The sequence below is a fragment of the Homo sapiens genome, chromosome 18 (assembly GCF_000001405.40).
Source record: "Homo sapiens chromosome 18, GRCh38.p14 Primary Assembly".
Classification (NCBI taxonomy): Eukaryota; Metazoa; Chordata; class Mammalia; order Primates; family Hominidae; genus Homo; species Homo sapiens.
Genome location: NC_000018.10, coordinates 57678422 through 57693481, shown reverse-complemented (window position 1 = coordinate 57693481; position 15060 = coordinate 57678422). Strand labels below are relative to the sequence as shown.

The window sequence follows — 15060 nt, the reverse complement described above, 5'->3', positions numbered from 1 at the left end:
CCTGCCTCGGCCTCCCAAAGTGCTTGGATTACAAGCATGAGCCACTGCACCCGGCCCATGAGCTATTCTTATCAGAGAATAAAAAATAACTGGGAAATCCTCCAAACATCTAAGTTACCAGATACCAGCCCAGGGCGAACCTTGCAAGCCGGCCTTCGGAGGAAGCAGTCTCAGACCTGCTATGTTTGCTCTTTTCTGCCCACGTGGTGACCCCAAATATTAAGCACTCCTTCTATTTCCCAATGAAAAATTTTTTCAAGTATTTAATTCAATTTGAATGCATACTTCTAAAACTTATTCTTTGATTGCATATACATGTTTAAAATCACATAAAAATAATAATTTAAGAAACATTTTCCCCTGCTTTCTCATTTCATGAAAATTGTATTTGAACTTTTCACATTCATCTTTGGTGTCATGGTTGTGGTTATCCACTCTCAAAGAGCCTGTTTGGCACTCTGCTCTTTCCACGACAAAGTTGTGAGATATAGCACTTTTGGACTCCATGTCCAGAAATTTAAATTTGTCTCTGGAAATTTTATTCCCACTTGCGAATCTCCAAGTACCACTAGGATGGTTGACTTTTTATTCCTTCCATAAATATATGCTCATAACTTCTACAACATAATACTTATCATATTGCTTCTTAAGTGATCTTATTTTACAATGTCATGCAATACTTATGACATTACACCTTAAGGAATAATCGCCCAAATATAGGTGAAATTTTCTTGCCCTGAAAAAAAAATTCTGGCTGGGTGAGGGCCACCTGTAATCCCAGCAGTTTGGGAGACTGAGGCATGCAGATCACTTGAGGACAAGAGTTCGAGACCAGCCTGGCCAACATGGTGAAACTCGTCTCTACTAAAAAGACAAAAATTAGCCGGCCTTGGTGGCGCGTGCCTGTAATCCCAGCTACTCAGGAGGCTGAAGCATAAGAATTGTTTGAACCAGGGAGGTGGAGGTTGTAGTGAGCCACAATGGCACCACTGCACTCCAGCCTGGGTGATACAGTGAGACGCTGTCTAAAAAAAAAAAAAAAAAAAAAAAAAAAAATCTGTTGAATATCTTCTATAAGCATTCCAGTTTTCCAGTTCAGCCTTGTTGGAAGTTGTTTCATGCTAAGTAAGATATCTTCCCCAAACAGTATGTTATTGTTCAAAGTAAACGTAATTGAGAGAATGCCCTGTAATATAAGATTCTTCAAGGATTTGAATATAAGACACCACCTTCTCTTTGGAGAGATAATTTTGGGAACAAAACCTTACCTTCTATGGGAGATGTAGGATACATCAGTCAATTGCAGCAATCAAATAGACTTTCAAAGCGTTATGATAGTGCTGTTTTTATTTGACATATATTATTTTTCAGACTACTAAATTCTCAATCATATGAAGTATTGAGTAAGGTTAATTAGCATCTAGGAAATGCAAGAGGTTGGAAATCCATCTTCAGAATGCATTTAAATGTTTTCTGTCTTCTAGATCTTTGTTGTTCTTATTCTGCTTTCTGCTGGTCTTGCCATCGGCCATGCTTATTGGGAAGCACAGGTGGGCAATTCCTCTTGGTACCTCTATGATGGAGAAGACGATACACCCTCCTACCGTGGATTCCTCATTTTCTGGGGCTATATCATTGTTCTCAACACCATGGTACCCATCTCTCTCTATGTCAGGTAAGGCTGTCCTCTCTGGCATTTTGCTTTAATGGAAGAATGTTGTACCTTCTCCCAACATAGTGCCTTCATTTCTAGTGATCACTGTTTCAAAGGTCACAAAGAACAGGTAAGAAAATCACGTTCATTTCAGAATTGAGGGTAAGAGAGGAAAAGGAAATTAACATTTGAGTATCCACTCTGTGCCAGGCACCTTTTATCTCATCCTGTTTGCAGATAAGGGTAGGGAATTTCAAAGATCGATTGCTACTCCTGTAGTCATTGTCTTATTAGTAAGGTTCCCTTCTCACCGGGTTCCAAAGCCCAGACTTCAGAAAGGGACTGGGAGGAGGGGAAGATTTAGCAGGTGATGGAAAAACTTAGTTTTCCCTTTTGGAAGTGGTCCTCACCTCTTATCTGAGCCTTTATTATCATCTGCCACACCCAAGGTGGAGAACTTGTGCTTTCCGGCCACTACCTCCTAGTAGGAAAGAAACTCCCTGTCCTTCATCAACCTCTCAAAATGTTCTCTTTTTCATCTCAAATCTCAACCACAACAACAAAGTCAGGGGCATATCTCCGATAAGTGGTAAGCAGCTGATTTGGTGATACTTCTTCATTTTTTACTTTTACTTTTTTTTTTTTTTTTTTTGAGATGGAGTTTCACTCTTGTTGCCCAGGCAGGAATGCAATGGCATGATCTAGGCTCACTGCAACCTCTGCCTCCTGGATCCAAGCAGTTCTCCTGCCTCAGCCTCCTGAGTAGCTGGGATCACGGGTGCCCATCACCATGTCTGGCTACTTTTTTGTATTTTTAGTAGAGACAGGTTTCACCAAGTTGGCCAGGCTGGTCTTCAACTCCTGACCTCAGGTGATCTGCCCACCTCACCTCCCAAAGTGCTGGGATTACAGGCATGAGCCACCACACCCGGCCTTTTTCTCTTTTTAATATGAAAGTTCACTGCCCTTGGCCAAACTGACTTTGAGACCTTTTTGGGAGGGATAGTGCTTTGGAATAAACCCAGCAGCCAGAGTTCATTCTTAGTTCTGATAAAGAATAGCCCAGAGACATAGGAATCACATACACACCTATAATTAGAGGCATTTATTTTATTTTAGTGTCATTATATGTGCATTTGCTTTATTTTTAATTTGATTACATGTAGTTACTGTTGTTCTTTTAACATGAAGGAAAGCCCTGGGGCAGCCATCTGTTCCACAGCTACTTTGAGAAAAACCGAGTTGAGTGTTACCTTTGTCAAGGGAACTATTACATAGATAATTTTGCCTAAAACCATCAATGTGTATTATAAAAGAAACTGTATACATAATTTTATATAAAGGTATGTCATGTGACAAATACGATTTCTTTTTTCTTGGAGATAAAGGTCCTTTGAAAACATGCTGGAGCAAGTTCTTCCAGATAGTATCTCTGCTTTGACTTCAAACCTCATTCAGAATAAACCCAACCCCAGGGCCCCAAGTGTGATCTGGTGCTCAGCCTTCCACTCCGCCCGTACCTTCTGCACCTCAGCCCACCTCCCTGGGCTTCTGCCACTCTGGCCCCTTGATATTCTTCCTGCACAGGGCCTTTGTCCCTGCTCTTTTCTCTGCCAGGGGCATTCCTTACATAGGTATCTATCTGCTCCCCTTTCACTACAAAGGCCTTTACTCAGACAACACCTTATTACCCTGACCTTTCCTGACTCATTCTGTTTCTGACCACTTCTCCTTCCTGGAGATCTTCATATCTCCTTACCTTGCTTTGCTTTGATTTTTGTTTGTTTGTTTGTTGTTTGTTTGTTTTGTTTTGAGACAGAGTCTTGCTCTGTTTCCCAGGCTGGAGTGCAGTCGCGCGATCTCAGCTCACTGCAACCTCCACCTGCTGGGTTCAAGTGAGTCCCCTGCCTCAGCCTCCTTAGTGGCTGGAATTACAAGTACATGCCACTATGCCTGGCTAATTTTTGTATTTTTAGTAGAGACGGGGTTTCACCATGTTGGTCAGGCTGGTCTTGAACTCCTGACCTCATGATCCGCCCACCTCGGCCTCCCAAAGTGTTGGAATTACAGGCGTGAGCCACCACACCTGGCCCCCTGCTTTGATTTTCTGCAGAGAACTTTCACCTCTGATAGAGCCTCTCTTTATTAATTTATTTGTCTGTCTCTACTAGAAAGTAACCTCCTTAAGAGAAAGGACTTTGTTTTGTTTACAGACATGTCCCCTGCACCTAGAATGGTATCTGGTACATAGTAGGCACTTAGGAAATACTTACGGAAGGGAGAGAAGTGGGGAGAGCATCATTTTTCCATCTGTTTAACTTGTTAAGGACTTCCTTGGCCCACCTAACAATTGCTGGCTATGTAAACAGCTTCCTTATAACTGAGATAGGTAATGTCCCTTATAGTTTTAAAATTCAGATGATCCTTTTATAATATCTTATTTTGGATATTCTATAACCTTATCATAATTTAGGGATCATGATTTGGGGTATTTGCCAAAAGCCTTTTGCCCTGTTTGAGAGCACAGTGGAGTCTGTACCCTAGGGTACTCTCACTCCCTCTGCCCTACCACTTAGGGCAAAGGTGAACATGGCCATTCCAGTGCCCCTGGGTGCTATGGGGAATGGGGGAAGAGTCAAGCTTGCTGTGTCCACTGCTCTGTCTGCAGTGTTGCTGTGTCTTCCATTCTGCTGGGCTGTGTATTCTGAACATGGGTGCCTTGGCTAAATGTGCCCAGGAGTGAGTGGGAAATCTCACTGAGCAATTTTGAGTGGAAATTACTTGTCTAAAATCAGCTTGACCCTGAAGCCTGAGAATGATGCATGTGGTTAGGAGAAACCAGAGGCTGAGTGCATGGGCTTGTCTCCTTGTAGAGGGCTTAGTTTGGGCTGATATAACAAAAGACCTTCGAAATTTATTGCTCAGAGTTCTGGAGGCTGGGAAGTCTCAAATCAAAGCATCGGCAGATTCAGGGTCTGGCAAAGGCTCACTTTCTGCTTTATAGGCACAGCCGGTGCCTTCTAGCTATGTCCTCGCATGGCAGAAGGGGCAAGCAAGCTCCTTTGAGCCACTTTAATAAGGGCACTAATCCCATTCATAAGGGTGGAGCCCTCATGACCTAATGACCTTCTAAAGGCCCCACCTCAATACTGTTGAATTGGGGATTGGGTTTCAACATATGAATTTGGAGGGGGATTCTAACATTCAGACCATAGCAGTAAATAAGCAGCTTGCTCTCGTCTGTACAATGAGAATAAAATCTCTACTACTTGCCACTCGTATCCGAGCTCTCTACGGAAAATAATCTTCTGTCTTCCTAGCGTGGAAGTGATTCGTCTTGGACAGAGTCACTTCATCAACTGGGACCTGCAAATGTACTATGCTGAGAAGGACACACCCGCAAAAGCTAGAACCACCACACTCAATGAACAGCTCGGGCAGATCCATTATATCTTCTCTGATAAGACGGGGACACTCACACAAAATATCATGACCTTTAAAAAGTGCTGTATCAACGGGCAGATATATGGTAAGTGGAAGCCGTCACTCATTTTCTGGGTGAGTGGGGCTGCCTGCCGTGTGCAGGTCATTACTTGGACTATAGCCTGTCTCCTGGCATTGCTGGTGCCCTCTCGATGCAGAGTCCTGCTGCTAGGGCCATTCTCCAGCTAAGCACCAGAGGAGCACCATGGACAGCACTGGGGACACATGCGTGGGAGAGGACAGTGGCCAGAAGTGGGCTCACAGCCAGGCGTGGTGGCTCAGGCCTGTAATCCCAGCACTTTGGGAGGGTGAAGTGGGCAGATCCCAAGAGGTCAGGGATTTGAGACCAGCCTTGCCAACATGGCAAAACCCCGTCTCTACTAATAATACAAAAATTAACCAGGTGTGGTGGTGGCGCACAGCTATAATCCCAGCTACTCGGGAGACTGAGGCAGGAGAATTGCTTGAACCCGGGAGGCAGAGGTTGCAGTGAGCTGAGATCACACCACTGCACTCCAGCCTGGTGAGAGAGCAAGACTCTGTCTAAAAAAAAAAAAAAAAAAAAAAAAAATTAGAAGTCTCATTACTATATGATCTAGCAATTCCACTTCAGGTTATATACTCAAAAGAACTGAAACAGGGGCTCAAAGAGATATTTGTACACCTATGTTCATAGCAGCATTATTCACAATAGCCAAAAGATAGAAGCAACCCAAGCGTTCATCAATGGATGAATGGATAAATAAAATGTGGATACGCACAATGAAATATTATTCAGTCTAAGAAAGGAAGGAAAATTTGACACATGCTACAACACAGATGAACCTGAACTCGTTTATGCCAGAGGTTGCAATTTTTTGAATTTTTGCAATCAGAACTTGGTGATGACCTTGAGCAGTAGGATATAAATAACTCCCACATGCTTAGCGTTCCAATAATGGAACACTAGGCATAAATGGGTTAAGGACATTATGCTAAGTGAAGTAAGCCAGTCACAAAAGGACAAATGTTGTATAATTCTACTTATATGAAGTACTTAGAATAATCAGATTTATAGAGACAAAGCAGAATGATGGTTACCAGGGGCTGGAGTCAGGGGAATTGGGAGTTACTGTTTAATGGGTACAGAGTTTCAATTTTGCAAGATGAAACAGCTGCACAACAGTGTGAATATACTTGATGCCACTGAACTGTATGCTTAAAAGTGGTTAAAATGGGCTGGGTGCAGTGTCTCATGCCTATAATAACAACACTTTGGGAGGTCAAGGTGGGAGGATTGCTTGAGGCCCAGAATTCTAGACCAGCTTGGGTAACAAAGCAAAAATTTTTAAAAATTAGCAGAGTATGGTGCTGCATGCCTATAGTTCCAGCTACTTGGGAGACTGAGGCAGGAAGATCCCTTAAGCCTGGGAGTTGAAGGCTACAGTGAGCCAAGATCACACCACAGCACTCCAGCATGGCTAACAGAGCAAGACCCTGTCTCAAAATAGCAACAACAAAAATTGGTTGACTGGTGTGCAGTGGCTCACGCCTGCAATCCCAGCACCTTGGGAGGCTGAGTCAGGCACATCCCTTGAGCCCAGGACTTTGAGACCAGCCTGGGCAACATGACAAAACCCCATCTCTGGCCGGGCACAGTGGCTCATGCCTGTAATCCCAGCACTCTGGGAGGCCTACGTGGGTGGATCACAAGCTCAGGAGTTCGAGACCAGCCTGGCCAATATGATGAAACCCCATCTCTACTAAAAGTACAAAAATTACCTGGGCGTGGTGGTGGATGCCTCTAGTCCCAGCTATTCAGGAGGCTGAGGCAGGAGAATCGCTTGAACCCGGGAGGTGGAGGTTGCAGTGAGCAAAATTGTGTGTGCCTGTAGTTCCAGTTACTTGAGAGGCTGAGGTAGGATCACCTGAGCCTGGGTACGTCGAGGCTGTTGTGGGCTGGGTTTGCACCACTGCACTCCAGCCTGGGTGACAGAGTGAAACCCTGACTCAAAAAAATCAAACAAAAAATCGGTTAATATGGTAAATTTTATTATGTGTATTTCACTACAATTGTTTGTTTTCTTTGTTGTTTTTGTTTTTGAGACAGTGTCTCACTCTGTCACCAGGCTGGAGTGCAGTGGTGCGATCTCAGCTCACTGCAACCCCTCCGCCTCCCAGGTTCACATGATTCTCCTCCCTCAGCTTCCTGGGTAGCTGGGATTACAGGCACACACCACCATGCCTGGCTAATTTTTGTTGTTGTTGTTGTTGCTTTTTTGTAGAGATGGGGTTTCACCATGTTGACCAGACTGGTATCGAACCCCTGACCTCAAGTGATCCATCTGCCTCAGCCTCCCAAAGTGCTGGGGTTACAGGCGTGAGCCACCACACCCGGCCTACAATTGTGTTTTTGGTTTTGTTTTTGTTTTTTTGAGACAGAGTCTCACTCTGTCGCCCAGGCTGGAGTGCAGTGGCACGATCTTGGCTCACTGAAACCTCCACCTTCCGGGTTCAAGTGATTCTTCTGCCTCAGCCTCCCGAGTAGCTGGGACTACAGGTATGAACCACCATTCCCAGCTAATTTTGTATTTTTAATAGAGATGGAGTTTCACCATGCTAGCCAAGCTGGTCTTGAACTCCTGACCTCAGGTGATCAGCCCATCTCAGCCTCCCAAAGTGCTGGGATTACAGGTGTGAGCCACCACACCCAGCCAATTGTTTTAAAAGTTGATTTCAGTTCTAATTTTCTGAAACATTTAGAAATTTAATTTTATGTAAATTTAGAGATAATATTAAGGCTAATACTAGATTCAAATAGAGTGCTATTTTAAATATACTTAATAGCACAATTGTTTAAAATGATATAGGGACATGCATATATACTTCCTACTTGTAGGCACCGTGAGTGCCTTTTCTCATAAGAAGTATCAGTGAAGATGGTAGGGCACTGAGGGGCTGAGGACGTGGCTCACATATGTGAGTCCTTCTGACTTGGGAGAGGTAAAGCATTTCAAAGGATATGATTCAGGCCCCTAGGAGAAGGTAGTGGAGAGGGACAGCCACTGGTATTTGAATATCTAGACCAGGGGTCATCTAACGTTTTCTGTAAAGTGCCAGATAATAAATATTTTAGCCTGTCCAGGCCGTATATGGTCTTACCACCATCACTATATAAGCAAAGCCAGGTAAGGAGGGGCCTCTGGACATAGGTGTAGAATCAATTTGTTTTGTCCTGTTTGTTTCTCAGGGGACCATCGGGATGCCTCTCAACACAACCACAACAAAATAGAGGTAAGACCTTTAAGCCGAAGAATCGTTTGGGATGCTGGGGATGTCAGGGTCCCAGCAGGGCCATGCTTCCTTTGAAGGTCTAGGGAAGACTCTTTCGTTGCCTCTTCCCTGCTCCTGGTGGTTGCCCACAGTCCTTGGTGTTCCTTGGCTTGGAGACTTGGAAACACAACTCTGTGTCTCTGCCTTTGTTGTCACGTGGTGTCCCCCGTGTGTCTGTGTGTCTCTGTCCACATTTCCCCTTCTAATAAGGATACCAATCATTGGATTAGGACCTACCCTAATTGAGTATGACCTCATTTTATCTTGATTACATCTGTAAAGACCCTGTTTCTAAATAAGGTCACATTCATAGGTACCAGAGGTTAGAATTTCAACATATCTTTTGGGGGAACATAGTTTAGTCCACCACAAAGTACCTTTTGACTAGGCATGGTGGCTCATGCCTGTAATCCCAGCACTTTGGGAGGCTAAGTTTGGCAGATCAATTGAGTCAAGGAGTTTGAGACCAGAGAAACCCCATCTCTACAAAAAAATACAAAAATTAGCCAGGTATGGTGGTGCATGCCCGTAGGCCCATCTACTCAGAAGGATTGCTTGAGCCCAGGAGGTGGAGGTTGCAGAGAACTGAGATCAAGCCACTGCACTCCAGCCCGGGTGACAGAGTGAGACCCATATATGGTCATATATGTTTCCAAAAAAAAAAAGGGGGGGAGCTTTTTATTTAAGACAGTTGTGAGCCTCTTGACATTTAAGAATGTGCTAAAATCCTAAGGTGGTTTTTGCATAATTGAAACCTTGCCTTTGAAGAAAAGTTCATGTCATTTGTTAAGTCAAAAATATTTTATAAAATCATATTTTGTTTTTCTCCATTTCTTTCAGCAAGTTGATTTTAGCTGGAATACATATGCTGATGGGAAGCTTGCATTTTATGACCACTATCTTATTGAGCAAATCCAGTCAGGGAAAGAGCCAGAAGTACGACAGTTCTTCTTCTTGCTCGCAGTTTGCCACACAGTCATGGTGGATAGGACTGATGGTGAGTGTTTCTCTGGCATCTCAGGCATTAGAGACCAGGTTTTTTGTTTCCAGGTAACTCCTGCTTATGGCTCAAATGCATGTCAAGTAGTACACAAATCTGTCTCATATTAGAATGCAGTGAATATTTCTCAGCACTTACCACTAGATGGTTTATGGAAGAGCAAAGTAGGAAACAAGCTTCTTGTCCCTGAAAATTTACACTTATTCATAGCTATAGCTCCAGGTGTATTTTTTTCACTTTGCAAATGAAATCTTGTTGAAAGAAATGATTGGTACTTGAACTATGATAGAAGAAACTAACTTTTCTTAGCACATTTATTACTGAGCATTGACTGAGAGTGAAAAGTCAAGCTTTATCTGTATCAGAAATGGACTTTGAACTTGACTAATCTTTTCTACCAAATAATTTCAGATATATGCTCTTATTTACTAGATTCTGTTATAGTTTGGGTTTGAAATAATATGAGCCTCAGCCTGGATCTCTTTAAGGTGCCTTTTTCCATTTAAAGGAGCATAATTAATGTGAATTTCATGGGAACAAGCCAGAATGGCTTGTAGGTTCCTTTGCAGAATCCTTCGATGCAGTTTGTGCCAGCTTTGTCACAGCAAGTTTGTCCTGTATCAAGGAAAGCTAGTCATTTTATCACAAATGGACATAATGATAAATTATATAGACACACATGCACTTTATAGAAAGAGCAAAAGGAGTTCTTTTGGTGTTTCTGTAATAAAGCGTAGTCTGCCTTCACTTCATTCCCTCACTTCATCCACTTCACTACATCTTCCACTTTTTACTTCAGTCAGTGCGGCATACATAAGTCCCTCTCTTTTCTCAACCTTAATGTTTCATATGTAGCAGGTATGAAATTTCCAGAGAAGGAATATGCATAAAAACTAAATGTGTAGGCCAACGCTTGGTGGCTCACACCTGTAATCCCAGCATTTGGAAGGTCGAGGTGAATGGATTGCTTGAGCTCAAGAGTTCAAGACCAGCCTGAGCAACATGGCAAAACTCCATCTCACCAAAAAATACAAAAAATTAGCCAGGTGTGATGGGACATGCCTGTAGTCCCAGCTACTCAGGTGGGGATCGCTTGAGCCCAGGAGGTCAAGGCTGCAGTGAGCCATAGTCTCACCATTACCCTCCAGCTTCGGTGATGGAGTGAGACCCTATCTCAAAAAAAAACAAAAAACACCTAAATGTATAGAAGCTGTACATGATACCTTTCAGCAAGTTTCAAAGAAACCCATTTTCCAAGGATGAATCTAATATTGCAATGAAGCAAGGTAACAGAGTTCAGATTAGGGTGGATACATGGAAGGGTTTATCAGCAGATGATGTGGGGAAGGATAGAAAGGGGCGATACCAGGTCCTGAATCATGGAAGCAGAGGTCTAAGTCTATTTGACTCACCAAGCCAATTTTACCCAGGCAATAAGCATAAAGTATGATATTACAAAGTCACCTGGTTCTCTTTGGTTTTGACTCATAAGCACAATTATTGTACTCTTCTCTGGGTACGTGATAGGATTTTAAGGGCTAACTGGCCAACTTAGGCAAATGTAAATTCATCCTGTGGTCCCTATTCTATCTTTCCCCAGTGGGATATTATGGGAAGAGCCCTGGACTACATGCTAGAGATGAGTCAGCCCAGTCTGGGTCCCTCTCTGAGAACCACCTTCCTCGGTGTTGTAGTAAGAAGGTTGGATGTACAAAGTTCCTTCCAGCAGGGCTGGGCGCGGTGGCTTACACCTGTAATCCCAGCACTTTGGGAGGCCGAGGCGGGCAGATCATGAGGTCAGGAGTTCAAAACCAGCCTGGCCAACATGGTGAAACCCCATCTCTACTAAAAATACAAAACATTAGCCAAGCATGGTGGCATGTGCCTATAATCCCAGCTACTTGGGAGGCTGAGACAGGAGAATCGCTTGAACCTGGCAGGCAGAGGTTGCAGTGAGCCAAGATCACGCCACTGCACTACAGCCTGGGCAACAGTGCAAGACTCCATCTCAAAAAAAAAAAAAAATAACACAAAGTCCCTCCAGCCTGACATACCGCAGCTCTTTGTCCACTGTCAGCTGAGGTCAAGGGTTGTACGAATAGAGACATGTTGGCTTCTAGTGCAGGAGCTTAGAGAAAGAAATTGCTTTCGGCTTTTAACCATAAAGTACCAGGAAAGGATCCCTTGAAAGGGACCTTGGGGACTACACCTTCAAGTTTTGTTTTGTGTTTTTGAGACAGTCTTGCTCTTGTCACCCAGGCTGGAGTGCAATGGCATGATCTCGGCTCACTGCAACCTCCACCTCCCAGGTTCAAGCAATTCTCGTGCCTCAGCCTCCTGAGTAGCTGGGACTACAGGGGCCCACCACCACGCCCAGCTAATTTTTGTATTTTTAGTAGAGATGGGGCTTCACCATGTTGGCCAGGCTGGTCTCCAACTCCTGATTTCAGGTGATCTGCCCACCTCAACCTCCCAAAGTGCTGGGATTACACGCGTGAGCCACCACACCCTGCCACATGCATTTGTTTTCTGCTACTCTGTAGTGAATTAGTGTAACTCAGCTACTGAAAACACCTGTTCATTAGCTTACGGTTCTGTAGGGCAGAATTCTGAGCATGGCATGACTGGGTTCACCGCTCAGCATCTGACTAAAATCAAGTTTGGGCCATGTTCTCATCTGGAGCTCAGTGTCTTTTTCCACGTTCACGTGTGGTTGCAGCAGGATTCAGTTCTCTGTGGTTGTAGAACTGAAGTCCCCATTTCTTTATTCTTTATCAACTGGGTTGCCCTCCACTCCTAGAGACTGTCCTCATTCCCTGCCAGCTGGTCCACTTCACCTTCAAAGCCAGCGGTGGAGAATCTCCCTTAAATTGAACCTTTTTCATGCTGCTCCAAGTCTCTCCCCAAGAAGAGTTCTGTCCTAAGCTCATCTAATTCAGTCAGGAACACCTGGATAATCTATTTTAAGGTCAGCTGATTAGGATCGCACATCTGCAAATTCCCTTCACAGCAGTACCTAGATTAGTGCTTGATTGAGTAAATGGGAGAAAGTGAATGTACAGCACTGGGATGGGAACCTTGAGGCCATTGCAGACTCCCGCCTGCACAGAGGTCATGTGAGAGCAGAATGTGGAAGGCTTGGAAGCCTTCACTTCACCTGGAGGTTCTGAGTTAATGATCAGAGAGCTTGTTTCAGGAGTTTTGCGCATCACGGGTGTGAGAGTCTGGAGCAGGTAGGCACTGGAGATTGGCACAGAGGCTGAAGGTTTGCATTAGTATGGGGTCTTTGGGAAGGATAACAAAGCCATGGATGTGGGAGACACTTGGCAAATCATTTAAAGGGGGTGAGAGGATTGAGGAGAAAAAGACATCTGAGAGCTAGGGCTTGTTTTTGTGAGCGTGTGTGGTTTTTTTTTTGTTTTGTTTTGTTTTGTTTTGTTTTGTTTTTGAGACCAAGTTTCACTCTTATTGCCCAGGCTGGAGTGCAATGGCATGATCTCGGCTCACTGCAACCTCCGTCTCCCGGGTTTAATCAATTCTCCTGCCTCAGCCTCCGAGTAGCTGGGATTACAGGCATGCCCCACCACACCCAGCTAATTTTGCATTTTTAATAGAGATGGGGTTTCTCCATGTTGGTCAGGCTGGTCTTAAACTCCCGACCTCAAGTAATCCTCCAGCCTTGACCTCCCAAAGGTGCTGGGATTACAGGTGTGAGCCACCACACCCAGTCTTTTTTTTTTTTTTTTTTTTTTTTTGAGACTGAGTCTCGCTCCTGTTGCCCAGGTTGGAGTACAGTGCCGCAATCTTGGCTCACTGCAACCTCTGCCTCCCAGGTTCAGGTGATTCTCCTGCCTCAGCCTCCCGAGTAGCTGGGATTACAGGCGCCCACACCAAACCCTGGCTAACTTTTTGTATTTTTAGTAGAGATGGAGTTTTGCCATGTTGGCCAGGCTTGTCTTGAACTCCTAACCTCAGGTGATCCACCCGCCTCAGCCTCCCAAAGCACTGGGATTACAGGTGTGAGCCACCATGCCTGGCCAGGTAGTTTATTGTCACTTAATTAGAGTGAGCCGGGTGCAGTGATTCACGCCTGTAATCCCAGCACTTTGGGAGTCTGAGGTAGGCGGATCACCTGAGGTCAGGAGTTCAAGACCAGCCTGACCAATATTGTGAAACCCCACCTCTACTAAACATACAAAAATTAGCTGGGCGTGGTGGCGGGCACCTGTAGTCCCAGCTACTTGGGAGGCTGAGACAGGAGAATTGCTTGAACCCGCGAGGCGGAGGTTGCTGTGAGCCGAGATTTTGCCACTGCGCTCCAGCCTGGGCGACAAAGTGAGACTCCATCTCAAAAAGAAATTAGAGTGAATCAGCTGAGGCAGTTGTGAAGGAGAGAAGAAAGGTGCATTTAGCTTTCTCTGCCACCATTACCCTGAAGCTAGGGAATCAGGTTGATGAGAACTGAGAGGTGGGATTTGTGGTTTGAGCATCTTTCTTTGATTACATCAATTTCATGAGCCACAAATTAGTGTGTGAAAGAAAAAGAAGGTCTTTCTGGTTGCCTCTAAATGTGCCATAAATAAAGAGTTTTCTTAGGAAGGTTGCTTTGTTTTTGTTTGTTTTTTTAGTTTGTTTTTACACCTTCAATTTTTATTTTAGGTTCAGGGGATACATGTGCATGTTTGTTACATGGGTATATTGCATGATCCTGAAGTTTGGGGTACAATTGATCCCATCATCCAGGTAGTGAACACAGAACTTAATAGTTAGTTTTTCTTTTCTTTTTTATTCTTTTTTTTTTTTGAGACAGAGTCTTGCTCTGTTGCCCAGGCTGGAGAGCAGTGGCGCGATCTCGGCTCACTGCAAGCTCTGCCTCCCGGGTTCATGCATTCTCCTGCCTCAGCCTCCCAAGTAGCTGGGACTACAGGCACCCGCCACCATGCCTGGCTAATTTTTTTTGTATTTTTAGTAGAGACAGGGTTTCACCATGTTAGCCAGGACGAAAGGTCAGCCTGCTGCGTTGGCTGGGAATTGAAGTCGGGTCAATTGCTTGGAAGGCAGCTATGCTCACCACTATACCATCAACACCACACTCTTTTCTTTTCTCTTCTTTTTTTTTTTTTTTGAGATAGAATCTCGAACTATCGCCTGGGCTGGAGTGCAATGGTGTGATCTCGGTTCACTGCAACCTCTGCCTCCCGGGTTTATGCGATTCTCCTGCCTCAGCCTCCCAAGTAGCTGGGACTACAGGCACCCGCCACCATGCCTGGCTAATTTTTTTTGTATTTTTAGTAGAGACAGGGTTTCACCATGTTAGCCAGGACAAAAGGTCAGCCTGCTGCATTGGCTGGGAATCGAAGTCGGGTCAATTGCTTGGAAGGCAGCTATGCTCACCACTATACCATCAACACCACACTCTTTTCTTTTCTCTTCTTTTTTTTTTTTTGAGATAGAATCTCGAACTATCGCCTGGGCTGGAGTGCAATGGTGTGATCTCGGTTCACTGCAACCTCTGCCTCCCGGGTTTATGCGATTCTCCTGCCTCAGCCTCCCAAGTAGCTGGGATTACAGGTGCATACCACCACACGTGGCTAATTTTTTACATTTTTAG

General features: G+C 44.5%; 1 protein-coding gene and 2 pseudogenes across 12 annotated transcripts in view; 1 reads left to right on the top strand and 2 right to left on the bottom strand.

The window, feature by feature from the left end:
* ATP8B1 (ATPase phospholipid transporting 8B1) overlaps positions 1-15060 on the top strand; it is a 156890-nt gene that overhangs the window by 109834 nt on the left and 31996 nt on the right. For all 12 annotated transcript variants that reach the window (XM_047437547.1, NM_005603.6, NM_001374386.1 and 9 more), the window contains 4 exons: positions 1485-1675; positions 4975-5183; positions 8367-8410; positions 9290-9446. In XM_047437547.1, coding sequence (XP_047293503.1) covers positions 1485-1675; positions 4975-5183; positions 8367-8410; positions 9290-9446 — 601 coding nt within the window. The remainder of the gene's footprint in view (positions 1-1484; positions 1676-4974; positions 5184-8366; positions 8411-9289; positions 9447-15060) is intronic.
* Positions 14466-14537, bottom strand: TRG-TCC6-1 (tRNA-Gly (anticodon TCC) 6-1; annotated as a pseudogene).
* On the bottom strand, positions 14789-14860 carry TRG-TCC5-1 (tRNA-Gly (anticodon TCC) 5-1; annotated as a pseudogene).